Source organism: Homo sapiens, chromosome 1 (genome assembly GCF_000001405.40).
Source record: "Homo sapiens chromosome 1, GRCh38.p14 Primary Assembly".
NCBI lineage: Eukaryota > Metazoa > Chordata > Mammalia > Primates > Hominidae > Homo > Homo sapiens.
Window position 1 is genome coordinate 28313637 of NC_000001.11, and position 15339 is coordinate 28328975.

Genomic DNA, 15339 nt, shown 5'->3' on the forward strand with positions numbered 1-15339 from the left:
TGAGGCTGTAGTGAGCCAAGATAGCGCCACTGCACTCCAACCTGAGCAACAGAGCAAGAGCCTGTCTCAAAAAAATAAATAAAATAAAAATAAAAAGGTGGGCATTTTATAGAATAAGGAAGTTTAAATCTGAAAGGATTAAGCCACTTGCCCAAAGTCTTATAGCCAGTGAGAAGCCAGAGCCAGGATGTGAACTCAGGTCTGCATGATATGGATGCCAAAAGCCCAGGTCCTGGCCACCGTGCCAAGCTGCCTCTTGAGAAATAGGAGCTCCCCAGCCTCTAAAACATTACCCTCTTCCTGACATTGGCCCTGGAAGGTTGTTAGACCAGAACAACAACCAGGAGATGTTGCATGCAACTTAGGCACCCCACTTCAGTCATCTGTGATGCCTCAAGGACCAGAGTTCACAGTCTGTGCTTGGCACCCCCGTCAGAGCTTTGACAAGCAATGTGTTTGTTAGACATGTTGTCCTTTCCAGGCTCAACCAAACAGCTCCAGCCTGCCCGCGCTGACCAGCAGAGCAGGCCTCCAGGCTGAGTCACCGCCCAGGGGTGTTTCACAACCAACCTGTCTGTGCATTGAGGCAGCAGAGGCAGGAAAGGTCACTGGGTGGCCCATGTCACCTTGAGCTCCTGGACAGAAAGGTGGAGCCTGGCTCACCTGTACCCATCCAGTTCTCACCCGAGTTTTCTTTCTCTTCTTGTAGGCTCTCTCTTTAACCTGAGGTATTATCCTGAGCCAAGGGAAGTTTCAACAAGCTCCAGTTCCTCATCTGTAAGATGGGAACTACATACATATTTAAATTATTGTGCATCCTACATGCCCTGTATCATTTAATCTTTATAGCAAACCAGTGAGGTAGATGCTATTATTTCATTTTACAAATGCAGGTACTGAAGATCAGAGATGTTACGTCACTCACCAAAGTCACACAGCTGGTTAGCGCAGGGTCAGGAATCAACCCTAAGTCTGTATGACTAAAGAGTGTGGGTTCAGAAGGAAATGTTCAGGAGAAAAGTCTGGCTATGGCTCGGGGCCTGTAATTCCCTGCTGAGTAATTTAGGCAAGTCCCTTCCACTCTGTGGGTCACTCTGTGGGTCTTGGTTTCCCCATCCGTTCTGTGGGGTGGGAGATAGGAAGCTGGACTAATGAGGCTGGAGGCCTCTTTCGCCTTTAAGTCTATGGTCCTAAGATTTTACGCAGAAGGCCTTTCCCTCAGTCACGCCTAGAGTGTGGTCTTTGCTTCCCGTACAGCCCACTCTTGAACTTCCTCTGGGGGAAGAGCAGACAGCAGGAGATTTCCTAGCAAGCTGCAGCTCTTTTTTTTTTTTTTTTTTTTTTTTGAGATGGAGTCTGGCTCTGTCGCCCAGGCTGGAGTGCAGTAGCGCCATCTCGGCTCACTGCGAGCTCCACCTCCCAGGTTCACGCCATTTTCCTGCCTCAGCCTCCCGAGCAGCTGGGACTGCAGGCGCCGGCCACCGCGCCCGGCTAATTTTTTTGTATTTTTAGTAGAGTCGGGGTTTCTCCGTGGTCTCGATCTCCTGACCTCGTGATCCGCCCGCCTCGGCCTCCCAAAGTGCTGGGATTAGCAAGCTGCAGCTCTTGCACATGACAACTTTGTTGTGACTTCCACTGAGCCATGTCCACATCTGTGAAATTGGGATGACCATAGTACCAGCAACCCAGTCACAGTACACACCATTGTGCTAGGTGCGTCATCTACATTTCCTCTTTATCTTATAATGACCTAGAAGACGATGTCACTGCTTGAGGCCACCCGGTTTATAGGAAGTGGAGCTGCTGTCTCAGCCTAGGCATGTCTGCCTCTTTGCCCTTCGCCATACTGCTTCTCCTCTCCTAGCCATGATGGTGGGAGAATGCACTGAAATGATGAATGAAAAGCACCTGGTGACCCGATGTTACTGGCTCGCTTTTTCCCATTATAATGGGAGCTGGGACTTGAGTCTTCAACTGTTTTTGCATCCACAAATAATGCCAATGTGGGCCTTTCTATGGGTTCTTGGTACATAATTGCTGACTGATATAATTCTATTCGCTAAGGACAAGCAGGTGGAATTAGTCAATAATATTCCGGCCAAGCAGGAAGGACAACAATGTTGAGAATTAGCTCTGTGGTTGGCTTGGTCATTGCCAAGCAGCTATGCCCACTTCCCGCCCCCCCCCCCTTTTTTTTTTAACCTAGTCTCCTTCTGTTGCCCAGGCTAGAGTGCAATGGCGCAGTCTCGACTCACTGCAACCTCTGCCTCCTGGGTTCAAGCAATTCTCCTGCCTCAGCCTCCCGAGTAGCTGGGATTACAGGCGTCCACCACAATGCCTGCAAATTTTTTGTATTTTTAGTAGAGACGGAGTTTCGCCATGTTTGCCAGGCTAGTCTTGAATGCCTGACCTCAAGTGATCCACCCGCCTCAGCCTCCCAAAGTGGTGGGATTACAGGCGTGAGCCACTGCGCCCAGCCTTCCCCCTTTATTTAGTCTTAGATTTTGTCTTTTCATTATTTTATTTTATTTTATTATTTTTTTTTTTGAGACGGAGTCTTGCTGCTGTCGCCTGGGCTGGAGTGCAGTGGCACAATCTCGGCTCACTGCAAGCTCCGCCTCCTGGGTTCCAGCAATTCTCCTGCCTCAGCCTCCCGAGTAGCTGAGATTACAGGCGCCTGCCACCACGCTCGGCTAATTTTTTTTGTTTCGTTTTGTTTTGTTTTTTGAGACGGAGTTTCATTCTTGTTGCTCAGGCTGGAGTGCAATGGCGCGATCTTGACTCACTGCAATCTCTGCCTTCCGGGTTCGAGCAACTCTCCTGCCTCAGCCTCCCCAGTAGCTGAGATTACAGGCACCCACCACCACGCTAGGCTATTTTTTTGTATTTTTAGTAGTGACAGGGTTTCACCATATTGGCCAGGCTGGTCGCGAACTACTGACCTCAGGTGATCCACTCACCTGGGCCTCCCAAAGTGCTGGGATTACAGGCATGAGCCACCACCTCTGGCCATCTGGCTAATTTTTGTATTTTTAGTAGAGATGGGGTTTCACCATGTTGGCCAGGCTGGTCTCGAACTCCTGACCTCAGGTGATCCACCCACCTCAGCCTCCCAAAGTGCTGCGATTACAGGCGTGAGCCACCGTGCCTGGCATATTTTATTTTTTGAGACAGAGTCTCACTCTGTTGCTCAGGATGGAATGCAGTGGCACCATCACAGCTCACTGCAGCCTTGACCTCTCGGGTTCAAGCAATCCTCCTGTCTCAGCTGGGAAGCTGAGTAGCTGGGACCACAGGTATACACCACCATGTCTGGCTAATTTTTGTATTTTTTGTAGAGACGAGGCCTTGGCATGTTGCCCAGGCTGGTCTTGAACTCATGGGCTCAAACAATCCACCTGTCTCGTCTTTCCAAAGTGCTGGGATTATAGGGACGAGTCACCACGCCCATTCATATTCTTAGCTTTCCTTTGCCGTTATGACTTTTGTCATTTTTGTCCTGACACATTCTCACTCTCTTTTGTTTGTTTGTTTTGAGACAGGGTCTTGCTCTGTTGCCCAGGCTGGAGTGCAGTGGCGTGATCAAGCTCACTGCAGCCTCTATCTTTCAGGCTCAAGCGATCCTCCTGCCTCAGCCTCCTAAGTAGCTAGGACTACAGGCATGTGCCATCACACCTGGCTAATTTTTATTAATTTTTAGTAGAAATGAGTTATTGTTATGTTGCCCAGGCTGGTCTCAAACTCCTGAGCTCGGCCAGGCATGGTGGCTCATGCCTGTAATCCCAGCATTTTGGGAGATCGAGGCGGGTGGATCACCTGAGGTCGGGAGTTCAAGACTAGCCTGGCCAACATGGCAATACCCCCCTCTCTACTAAAAATACAAAAATTAGCCGGGCATGGTGGCGTGTGCCTATAGTCCCAGCTACTGGGGAGGCTGAGGGAGGAGAATCACTTGAACCCAGGAGGCGGAGGTTGCATTGAGCTGGGATCGCACCACTGCACTCTAGCCTGGATGACAGACTCAAAAACAAACAAACAAACAAACAAATGCCCCCTGAGCTCAAGCATTCCTCCCTACTCGGTGTCCCAAAGTGCATGAGCCGCCACGCTGGCCTCACATTCTCACTCTTTCCCCCTAGGAAATGAGAGAAGAGAATCCTAAGAGTTTGTAGAAAAGCCATTCAAACACTGATTCCTTATGAGCTCACCTGTCTAACCTCCATTCTCACTTCTCTCCCACCTGTCAAAGTCACACACCTGTCTGCCACAACTGACAATCTTATCCTCTAGCAGGACTTCTAGATTTCTGCAGAAACCTGGGATTTCTGGACACTCCAGTCTATTCATTCTTCTCTGCTTCCTGATGGGATTATCTCTCCTACTCTTACTCTGTTATTTTATTTACTAATATTTACTGTGTACCAAACCCTGTGCTTAGAATTGTAGTGACTTTCTAATTTCTCAAAATGGAAAAAGTATTTTTTTTGTACATTTTAGAGTTTTCTTCTAAAATATTAGAATTTCTAGGCCTGCCACAGTGGCTTATGCCTGTAATCCTAACACTTTGGGAGGACAAGGCGCGAGGATCGCTTGAGCTTGTGAGTTTGAGACCAGCCTGGGCAACATGGTGAAACCCCATCTCTACCAAAAATAGAAAAAATTAGCCAGGCATGGTGGTGGGTGCCTGTGTCCCCAGCTACTTGGTATTTTGTTTTGTTTTTGTTTTTTGTTTTTTTTGGGTTTTTTTTTTAGATGGATTCTCACTCTGTCACCCAGGCTGGAGTACAGTGGCGTGATCTCAGCTCACTGCAACCTCTGCCTCCCAGGTTTGAACGATTCTCCTGCCTCAACCTCCCGAGTAGCTGGGATTACAGGCACGCACCACCATGCCCAGCTAATTTTTGTACTTTTAGTAGAAACAGGGTTTCACCGTGTTGGCCAGGCTGATCTCGAACACCTGACCTCAGGTGATCTACCCACCTCGGCCTCCCAAAGTGCTGGGATTACAGGCGTGTGAGCCACCTCGCCCAGCCATTCACAGCTACTTGGGAGTCTTCAGTGGCAGGATCACTTGAGCCCGGAAGGTGGAGGTTGCAGTGCCCAGTGCACTCCAGCCTGGGTGACAGAGTGAGATCCCATTTCAAAATAAATAATTAATAAAATAAAATACATTTGAATTTCTTACAATGAGCACATAATGCTCTTGTAACCAGAAAAAAAACTATAAATGTTTTTCATTATTTTAATCAATTTTATTGAGATACATTTACATTTACATACAATTAAAATGCATCTGGGTAGGCCGGGCGCAGTGGCTCACACCTGTAATTCCAGCACTTTGGGAGGCCGAAGCAGGTGGACCACCTGAGGTCAGGAGTTCAAGACCAGCCTAGGCAAAATGGCAAAACCCTGTCTCTACTAAAAATACAAAAATTAGCTGTGCATGGTGGTGGGTACCTGTAATCCCAGCTACTTGGGAGGCTGAAGCAGGAGAATCGCTTCAACCCGGGAAGCGGAGGTTGCAGTGAGCCGAGATCATGCCATTGCACTCCAGCCTGGGTGACAAGAGCAAAACTCCATCTCAAAACAAATAAATAAAATAAAATAAAATGTATCTATTTAAATGTACATCTTGATGAGTGTTGACAAATATACACACTTGAGCACCTGACATCACAATCAAAATATAAATATTTCCATTTTTCCAGAAAGGTCCCTTATGTCTCCTTGCAATGAGTCCTCCCTACTTCCTGCCCTAGACAAGCACGATTTTATTTCTCTCACTGTAGATTAGTTTTATCTCTTCTAGAATATCACATAGATGGAATCATAAATTACATATTCTTTTGTGTCTGACTTCTTTCACTTAGAATATTGTTATTATTATTTTAGAGAAAGGGTCTTGCTCCATCGCCCAGGCTGGAGTGCAGTGGCACAATCATAGCGCACTGCAGCCTCAAACTCCTGGGCTCAAGGGATCCTCCTGCTTCAGCCTCCAGAATGTCTGAGACTATGGTTGCATGCCACCACGCTCAGTTTAGATTAATCTATCTTCTTATGTACATCAGTAGTTTTTTTCTATTGCTGAGTAGTATTCCATTGTAGAAATAAATCACAATTTGTTTATCCACTTGTGTGTGGACATTTTGTTTGTTTCAAGTTTTTTTTTTTTTTTTTTCTTTTTTTTTTTTGAGATGGAGTCTCTCTCTGTCACCCAGGCTGGAGTGCAGTGGCACCATCTCGGCTCACTGCAACCTCTGCCTCCTGGGTTCAGCAATTCTCCTGCCTCAGCGTCCCGAGCAGCTGGGACTACAGGCATGTGCCATCACACCCAGCTAATTTTTGTATTTTTAGTAGAGACAGGGTTTCACCATATTGGTCAGGCTGGTCTTGAACTCCTGACCTCGTGATCCACCCGCCTTGGCCTCCCAGAGTGCTGGGATTACAGCCATGAGCCACTGCGCAGGCTTTTTTTTTTTTTTTTTGAGAGAGTTTCTCTCTTATTGTCCAGGCAGGAGTGCAATGGCGCGATTTCAGCTCACTGCAACCTCCACCTCCTGGGTTCAAGCGATTCTCCTGCCTCAGCCTCCTGAGTATCTGGGATTACAGGCATGCACCACCACGCCCTGCTAATTTTGTATTTTTAGGAGAGACGGGGTTTCTCCATGTTGGTCAGGCTGGTCTTGAACTCCCGACCTCAAGTGATCGGCCCGCCTCGGCCTCCCAAATTGCTGGGATTACAGACATGAGCCACCGCGCCTGGCCATTTTTTTTTCATTTAAAAGGAAAAAAAGGTTATTTTCTTTTACTCTTTTTAAGTAACCCACACTCATCAAAAATTTGGAAGATAGGCTGGGCGTGGTGGCTCACTCCCAGTTACTTGGGAGGTTGAGGCGAGAGGATTGCTCGAGCCTGGGAGATTGATGCTTCAGTGAGCTATGATCTTGCCACTGCACTCCAGCCTGGGTGACAGAGTGAGACATTGTCTCGAAAAAAAAAAAAAAAAAAAAAGGCAGGGGAATCGCTTGAACCCTGGAAGTGGAGGTTACAGTGAGCTGAGATTGCGCCACTGCACTCCATCCTGGGTGACACAGTGAGACTCCATCTCAAAAAAAAAATAAAAGGAAAACAGAGACAAGTGGAGATAAAATAATCTCTGGTCCCATTAAACAAAGTTAAACAAAGGCAATTATTGTTAGTATTAGAGTGCTATGTTTTCTTCTCCTGTGTAAAGATGTTTTAAGGACTCTATATAATTAAAATCACACTGTACATTTGTAACTGGCTTGAGTAGTTAATATTATATCATAAATATTTTCCACCTTCTTTCTTTTGTAACCATTTTTAATATTATTTAATATTTTATCACTAGAATGTGGACTCTCTCAGGGCAGGGGTTTAGGTTGTCCCAGTTATTCTTTATATTCCCAAAGTTCAGCATGGTGCCTCTCCTACCGCAGGCACATAGTAAGTGCTGACTGTATTGTGTGCCACAATGTGCTTGCTATGCCCATATGGAGAATATGCCAACTCTCCTTACAATGTTCTTTTCACTAATTCTCTTTTTTTTTTTTTTTTTTGAGACAGTCTGGCTCTGTCACCCAGGCTGGAGTGCAGTGGAAGCATCTCAGCTCACTATAGCCTTGACCTCCTGGGCTCAAATGACACTCCCATCTCAGCCTCCCAAGTAGCTGGAATTACAGGCGAGGGCTACCATGTCTGGCTAATTTTTAATTTTTTGTAGAGATGGGGTCTCCCTACGTTGCCTAGGCTGGTCTTGAACTACTGGGCTCAAGTGATCCACCTGCCTCGGTCTCCCAAAGTGCTGGAATTACAGGTATGATCCACCATGTCCAGGACCCATCTTAAGTCCTAAGCACTAGTGTGTTAACCTCTGCCCTTCTGCTTCTCCATGAAGTCTTTTTGGGCTTTCTCCTCTCCTCTGGGTTGTACAAAGAGTCTCCTCCAGAAAACATTTGAGTTGATGGCATAAATAATGGCATAAAACCATTTGACCCAAGGAAGGGGGTAATTGTGATGAGATCTTAGGGGACCAGAAACAAACTCTTTTACTTCCACATAGATTATACAGCAGACTTGCAATTCTGGCAGCTGTGAGATGGAGAGAATACCACCTGCTTCTGAGAGCTAGTATGAGGAGGAAATGAATTATACAGATTCAGCTGAGCATGGTGGCTCACACCTGTAATCCCAGCACTTTGGGAGGCTGAGGCAGGTGGATCACCTGAGGTCTGGAGTTCGAGACCAGCCTGGCCAATTTGGTGAAACCCCGTCTCTACTACAAATACAAAAATTAGCTGAGTGTGGTGGTGCACGCTCGTAATCCCAGCTATTTGGGAGGCGGAGGCAGGAGAATCACTTGAACCTGGTGGGTGGAGGTTGCAGTGAGCCGAGATCATGCCACTGCACATCCACCTGGGTGACAGAGTAAGACTCCATCTCAAAAAAAAAAAAAAAAAATACAGATTCACAGAAAGTGCTTACCACAGAGCCTGGCACCCAGTAATCACACACTCAAGGGGAGCTGTCCAGGAAATTTGAGACCCAGTGGGTTAATTATCGGTTAATTATCTTCAGACTAAAACCAACACTGATTTCCCCAGACAGCCCGGGAGGGGAGAAACCCAAACAGACAGTTACAGTTCAGCTAAAACAGAGCTAATCTTTAATCTTTTATGGATACATGTAATACATTAACTATTATAGCTTATCCCCTCAAGGCACCTCAACACCTGGTCAACCAGAGGCTAGAGTTGGGTTGGCTGGGCTAAGAGGAAGGGAGCAAGTAAATAGGCCAATTACCCTTCTGCAACAGACTTTCTTAGGGCCCCGCCTTGAGATTAAGAGAATTAAATGGCTAATGCTGCCTGTCATTCAGCCAGTGGGGTGGGGAGGTGAATTTCTTGAGTCAGCACCCAATGAAGAACACTAGGCACAAAATTATATGAGGTGTTTTACCTGTCTCTCAGCAAACTAAACTCCTTAAGAATGGTGTCATTTCTTATTTGTCATTGGGTGTTTGCTGATGGTCATTACTATTAATAATAATGCTGTAGTTGTCATAATAGGAAAAAAATCCAAAGGCATAGAATTACTAAGGCTAAGTATCTATGAAATCATAAAGTTCGACTACTGCATTTTCTCAACTCTAAGATGCATTTTGTGTCTGGGTTTATCGGGCTTCAATTTATAACAGATATATATATATATATATATACACACACACACACATAGAGAGAGAGTGTTTATCAATCGACTGAAACTCTGTTATTAAATCAATACTATGACTTAGAGTGGACAGTGTCTAGGAATCAAGGAAATATGATAATTCAATCTCTCCCACTCGGAACAAGAATTCTTTCTTTTCTTTTTTTTTGAGATAGAGTCTCGCTCTGTTGCCCAGGCTGGAGTGCAGTGGCACCACCTTGGCTCACTGCAACCTCTGCCTCCCAGGTTCAAGCGATTCTCCTCCCTCAGCATCCTGAATAGCTCGCATTACAGGTATGTGCCACCATGCCCAGCTAATTTTTCTGTTTTTAGTAGAGATGGGGTTTCGCCATGTTGGCCAGGCTGGTCTTGAACTCCTGACCTCAGGTGACCTGCCCACCTAGGCCTCCCAAAGTGCTGTGATTACAGGCATGAGCTACCACGCCCAGCCAATAATTCTTTCTACCACAGTCTCTCCTTCAGTATTTCCACTGGAAGGGAGTCTACTTCATATCCGGGCCCCCCTTCCACTACTGGACACCACCATTGCGACAAGTTGTTCCTTTTATTAAGCTGAAATCTATATCCCTATAATTTTCACCCAACAATTCTAGTCCTGTCCTCTGGAACTATACAAAAGCAGTTAGTTTTTTTCAGGAGGCTATTACAGATTGAAGTTTGTGTCTCCCCAAAATTCATATGCTAAATCCTGGGAGAAGTAGAAATTTGCCCAGCACTACATAGGCACTGTGTACACCTGGAGGGCCTTTAAAAAAAAGAATCCTAACCTCCAATGTGGTGGTGAGCCTTTGGGAGATAATTAGGTCGTGAGGGTGAAGTCTTCATTAATGAGATTAGTGCCCTTGTAGGAAAAAACAAGAGAGATGATTTTTCTCTCAGCCATGTGATGCTATGAGAATGCAGCCATCTGCAATTCATGAAGCCGACCCTCACCAGACACTGTATCTATCAGCACCTCAATCTTGGACTTCCCAGCCTCCGGGAAATATGTGAAATCATTCGTTGTTTTGGCCACCCAGTCTTTGGTAACTTGTTATAGCAATCCAAACTAACACAGAGCAAAGTCTTAGTACAATAAATCTCTGGAGGCAGACAGATTTGGCTTTTAAACCTGACTCTGACACTTATCAGCAATGTACTTAACTTCTCAGAGCCTATTTCCTCATTTGCTAAGTGGGCTGAAGTCCCCATGGTTGTGAGAGTTAAATGAGTTAAATATACTCTAACCCTAACCCTAGCCCTTTCCTCTTCATCTCTCCTCAGTCCCCACTGGCTTTGTCATATATTCATATACTGGAAGACAGATGTCATGTCCACCCTTCGTAAGTCTTTTCTAATTAAACATTCCCCAATTCCTAAACCATTCTCCTAACAGTAAATCTGATTCATTGCATACCTACAATATACAGTATATACCAGGCACTGCCAAAGGCCTAAGAAGTTAAATAAACTGCCTAGACCCACACAAGCAGTTGCCAGAATTATAGATCTGTCTGACTGTAAAGCCACACCTTCAAATCTAGATCCTATAGCAGTACTGTCTAACAGAAATATGTGAGTCACATATATACTTTTAAATATTCTAGGCCAGGCATGGGGGCTCACACCAGCAATCTGGGAGGCCCAGGTAGTAGGATCACTTGAGGACAGGAGTTTGAGACCAGCCTGGCCAACATGGTGAAACCTGGTCTACTTAAAGAAAAAAAAAAAAATCAGGCGGGCATGGTGGCATGCATCTGTAGTTCCAGCTACTCAGGAGGCTAAGACATGAGAATTGCTTGAGTCTGGGAAACAGAGGTTGCAGTGAGCCCAGATTGTGCCACTGCACTCCAGCCTGGAAGACAGAGCAAGACTTCTGTCTCCAAATAAATAAAAATATAAATAAATAAATATTCTAGTAGCACCCTGTAAAAATAAGCTGGGCTCAGTGGCTTACACCTGTAATCCCAGCACTTTGGGAGGCTGAGGCAGGTGGATCACCTGAGGTCAGGAGTTCAAGACCAGCCTGGCCAACATGGTAAAACTCTGTCTCTACTAAAAAATAGAAAAATTAGCCAGATGTGGTGGCGGGCGCCTGTAGTCCTAGCGACTGGGGAGGCTGAGGAAGGAGAATTGCTTAAACCTGGGAGGTAGAAGTTGCAGTGAGCCAAGATCACGCTACTGCACTCCAGCCTGGACGACAGAGCAGGACTCCGTCTCAAAACAAAACAAAACAAAACAAATAAATAAAAATAAATAAACAAGTTAAATTAAATGTAATAAAATATTTTTATTTAACCCCAGTATCCAAAATATTATCATTTCAGCAAGTACTCTATATAAAAAAATATTGACTTGGTGTTGTGGCTCACACCTATGATCCCAGCACTTTAGGAGGCCTAGGCAGCAGAATTTCTTGAGCCCAGGAGTTGGAGACCAGCCTGGTCAATATAGTGAGACCCTGTCTCTACAAAAAAAGGAAAGAAAAAAAGGCTGGGGCTGGGCACGGTGGCTCACGCCTGTAATCTCAGGACTTTGGGAGGCCGAGGCAGGCAGATCACCTGAGGTCAGGGGTTCAAGACCAGCTTGGCCAACATGGTGAATCCCATCTCTACTAAAACTACAAAAATTAGCCAGGCGTGGTGGCTCACGCCTGTAATCCCAGCTACTCAGGAGGCTGAGGCACAAGAATCACTTGAAACTAGGAGGCGAAGGTTGCAGTGAGCCAAGATGGCGCCACTGCATTCCAGCCTGGGTGACAGAGTGAGACTGTTTAAAATATATATATATATATATATTTATGTGTAGATATACATTTTTATATATGTATATATATGTGTATATATGTGTATATATGTGTGTGTATATATATATATGTGTGTGTGTATATGTGTATATATATATGATTCCTCACTTCAAGATGTTTACAATCTATCCAGGGAGATAAGCCATGCACAAAATACATTCACAGATCCAGTGACTCCCCCGAAAAATGAAAAAAATAATTTTGAAAAAATGAATTTAAAAAAGAGTGAAAACAATAAAATAGAATGCACCTGTAATCCAGCTACTTGGGAGGCTGAGGCAGGAGAATAGCTTGAACCCAGGAGGCGGAGGTTGCAGTGAGCCAAGATCGCGCCACTGTACTCCAGCCTGGGCAACAGAGCAAGACTCTGCCTCAAAAAAAAAAAAAAAAAAAGGCCGGGCGCGGTGGCTCATGCCTGTAATCCCAGCACTTTCGGAGGCCGAGGCGGGTGGATCACGAGGTCAGGAGATCGAGACCATCCTGGCTAACACGGTGAAACCCCATCTCTACTTAAAATACAAAAAATTAGCTGGGCGTAGTGGCAGGCGCCTGTAGTCCCAGCTACTCAGGAGGCTAAGGCAGGAGAATGGCGTGAACCCGGAAAGTGGAGTGAGCCGAGATTGCGCCACTGCACTCTAGCCCGGGCGACACAGCGAGACTCCATCTCAAAAAAAAAAAAAAAAAAAGCTAATAACTACTGCTTATTAAATGCCTACACGCCAGGCATGATGGCTCATGCCTGTAATCCCAGCACTTTACGAGGTCAAGATGGGAGGATGGCTTGAGGCCAGGAGTTTGAGACCAGCCTGGGTCTCACATAGTGAGACTCCGTCTCTAAAAAAATTAATAAAATTAAATAAAAATAAAAGAAAATAAAAATATTAAGTGCTTACAATAAGCCAAGCACTATGTTAAATGCTTTATAACCATCTCATTTGATTTTGGCAAACTCCTTTGAAAGTACTATTATTATCTCTATTTTACAAAAAAAGGAAGCTGAGGCTCAGGGAGGGGAAGTGAATGCCCATGGTTGCACAGCTGGGTAGTGGCAAAGTACAGGGGTGGGCCCCATCCTAAGCTCTAGGCATCATATCCTTATCAGAGAAACCCATCCCTGTAATCTCCAGGCCTCCTTCAGGTATTATCATATTGTTTACCCATTTTCTGTCTATCTCCCCTACCTTTTTAAAAAAATTTACCCTTCTTTAAAATACCAGCTAAAATCTGGGTAAACCCTATGGTGCCTCAAATGACCTGTAATTCACTGGACTTTCTATGCTGCAATTAGTGTCTGTATAGGAAAAGAGAGGCCAAAGAAGTTCACAGCCTCCTCTAATCATTACAGCACTTGAGAGCTGGTCACTCTGCCCAATCTTGTGAATCACCAGGTTGATCAGGAGGCACATCCTAAACCCTAGGGCATACGCAATCCTTGTCAATCTTCTTTTCCTACTTAGTACACTCTTTCACGATGATCTCATTCAATGTCATGGCTTTTAGCTACCATCTATGAGGCTATGGTTTTGAAATCTCTATCTGTAGCCCATTTCTCTCCCCTGAACTTTGCCATTTGGGTGTCCCACAGACACCTGATGCTCAGTGGGTCTACATATGAACTCATCTTTCCTGTCTCACCCACACTGCTCTGTGTTTCCTAGCTTAGAGAAAAAAAGTGCTACGATAGCCACCCAAGACATCTGTGACTCCTTCATCTCTGTCTTTACCTCTGGTTAGTCATTAAAGAATTATTTTCCATATATATATAGAGGACAGAGTCTTGCTCTGTAGCCCAGGCTGGAGAGCAGTGGTGCAATTTCAGCTCACTACAACCTCTGCCTCCTGGGTTCAAGCAATTTTGGTCTCTTGACCACCTGAGCCACCTGAGTAGCTGGGACTACAGGCGTGTGCCACCACACCCGGCTAATTTCCTCTTTTTACTTTTTTTTTTGAGCCGGAGTCTTGCTCTGTCGCCCAGGCTAAAGTGCAGTGGTGCGATCTCGGCTCACTGCCAGCTCTGTCTCCCAGGTTCACACCATTCTCCTGACTCAGCCTCCCAAGTAGCTGGGACTACAGGCGCCCGCCACTACGCCCAGCTAATTTTCTGTATTTTTAGTAGAGACAGGGTTTCACCGTTAGCCAGGATGGTCTCGATCTCCTGACCTCGTGATCCACCCCCCTCGGCCTCCCAAAGTGCTGGGATTACAGGCGTGAGCCACCGCGCCTGTCCTCTTTTTACATTTTTAAAATCTTTTTCTGACATTTGTTTCTCAGCTGGAGTTGTACCAAAGCGCCTAACTGGTCGTTTTTCTTTAATTTTTTTCCAGACAGGATCTCCCTCTGTTGCACAGGCTGGAGTGCAGTGGCGCTATCTCAGCTCACTGCAACCTCTGCCTCCTGGACTCAAGCAATCCTCCCACCTCAGCCTCCCAAGTAGCTGGGACTGCAGGTGCGAGCCACTACGTTCAGCTAATTTTTTGTATTTTTTGTAGACACAGGGTTTCACCATGTTGTTCAGGCTGGTCTTGAATTCCTGAACTCAAGCCATCTGCCCGCCTTGGCCTCCCAAAGTGCTGGGATTACAGGCCTGAGCCACCGTGTCCGGCCTGGTCTTTTTTCTCTAGGCTCTCTCCTTTCCCAAACTTTTCTCCATGTTGTAGCCAGGGTTCTTTTAAAGCTCACATGTATTCTTTGGTATGGCACTGCAGAGTACTCCTGGATCTGGACCTACTCCTTTTCCAGACTCTTTTTTTTTTTTGAGACAGAGTCTCTCTCTGTAGCCCAGGCTACAATGCAGTGGCGCGATCTCGGTTCGCTGCAACTTCCGCCTCCCGCGTTCAAGCGATTCTCCCACCTCAGCCTCCCTAGTAGCTGGGATTACAGGCGCGCGTCACCATGCCCGGCTAATTTTTGTATTTTTAATGGAGACGGAGTTTTACCATCTTGGCCAGGCTGGTCTCGAACTCCTGACCTCAAGTGATCCGCCTGCCTCGGCCTCCCAAAGTGCTGGGGTTACAGGCGTGAGCCACCGCGCCCAACCCCTCAGTTCTTTTTTCTTTTGAAACCCACTATAATCTCTGTAAGTCCTATCAGTTCCAAGAGACTTTCTACACAAATACATCTCCAGGTTGTCAAACCTAAAAAGATTTTCCTAGAGCATGGCCTATGACGTCAAGGATCCAGGTAGCGCCCGGAGGAAAGCGCCAAAGGAGGCCGCCATCTTTCATACAGCAGCCCGGAATTTTGCGCATGCGCCTCTGATTGTCTGTCCGCAATGAAGCTCTTCGGCCTTCTCGGCACCCATACGT

At 45.9% G+C, this 15339-nt stretch overlaps 1 annotated feature.

Moving 5' to 3' along the window:
- Positions 1–501: an enhancer, noted in NCBI's record as "H3K4me1 hESC enhancer chr1:28640148-28640648 (GRCh37/hg19 assembly coordinates)". NCBI's record gives its function as "activates a minimal SCP1, AML or CMV promoter by ChIP-STARR-seq in primed H9 embryonic stem cells {active_cell/tissue: H9 hESC(primed)}" and the evidence as "EXISTENCE:reporter gene assay evidence [ECO:0000049][PMID:30033119]".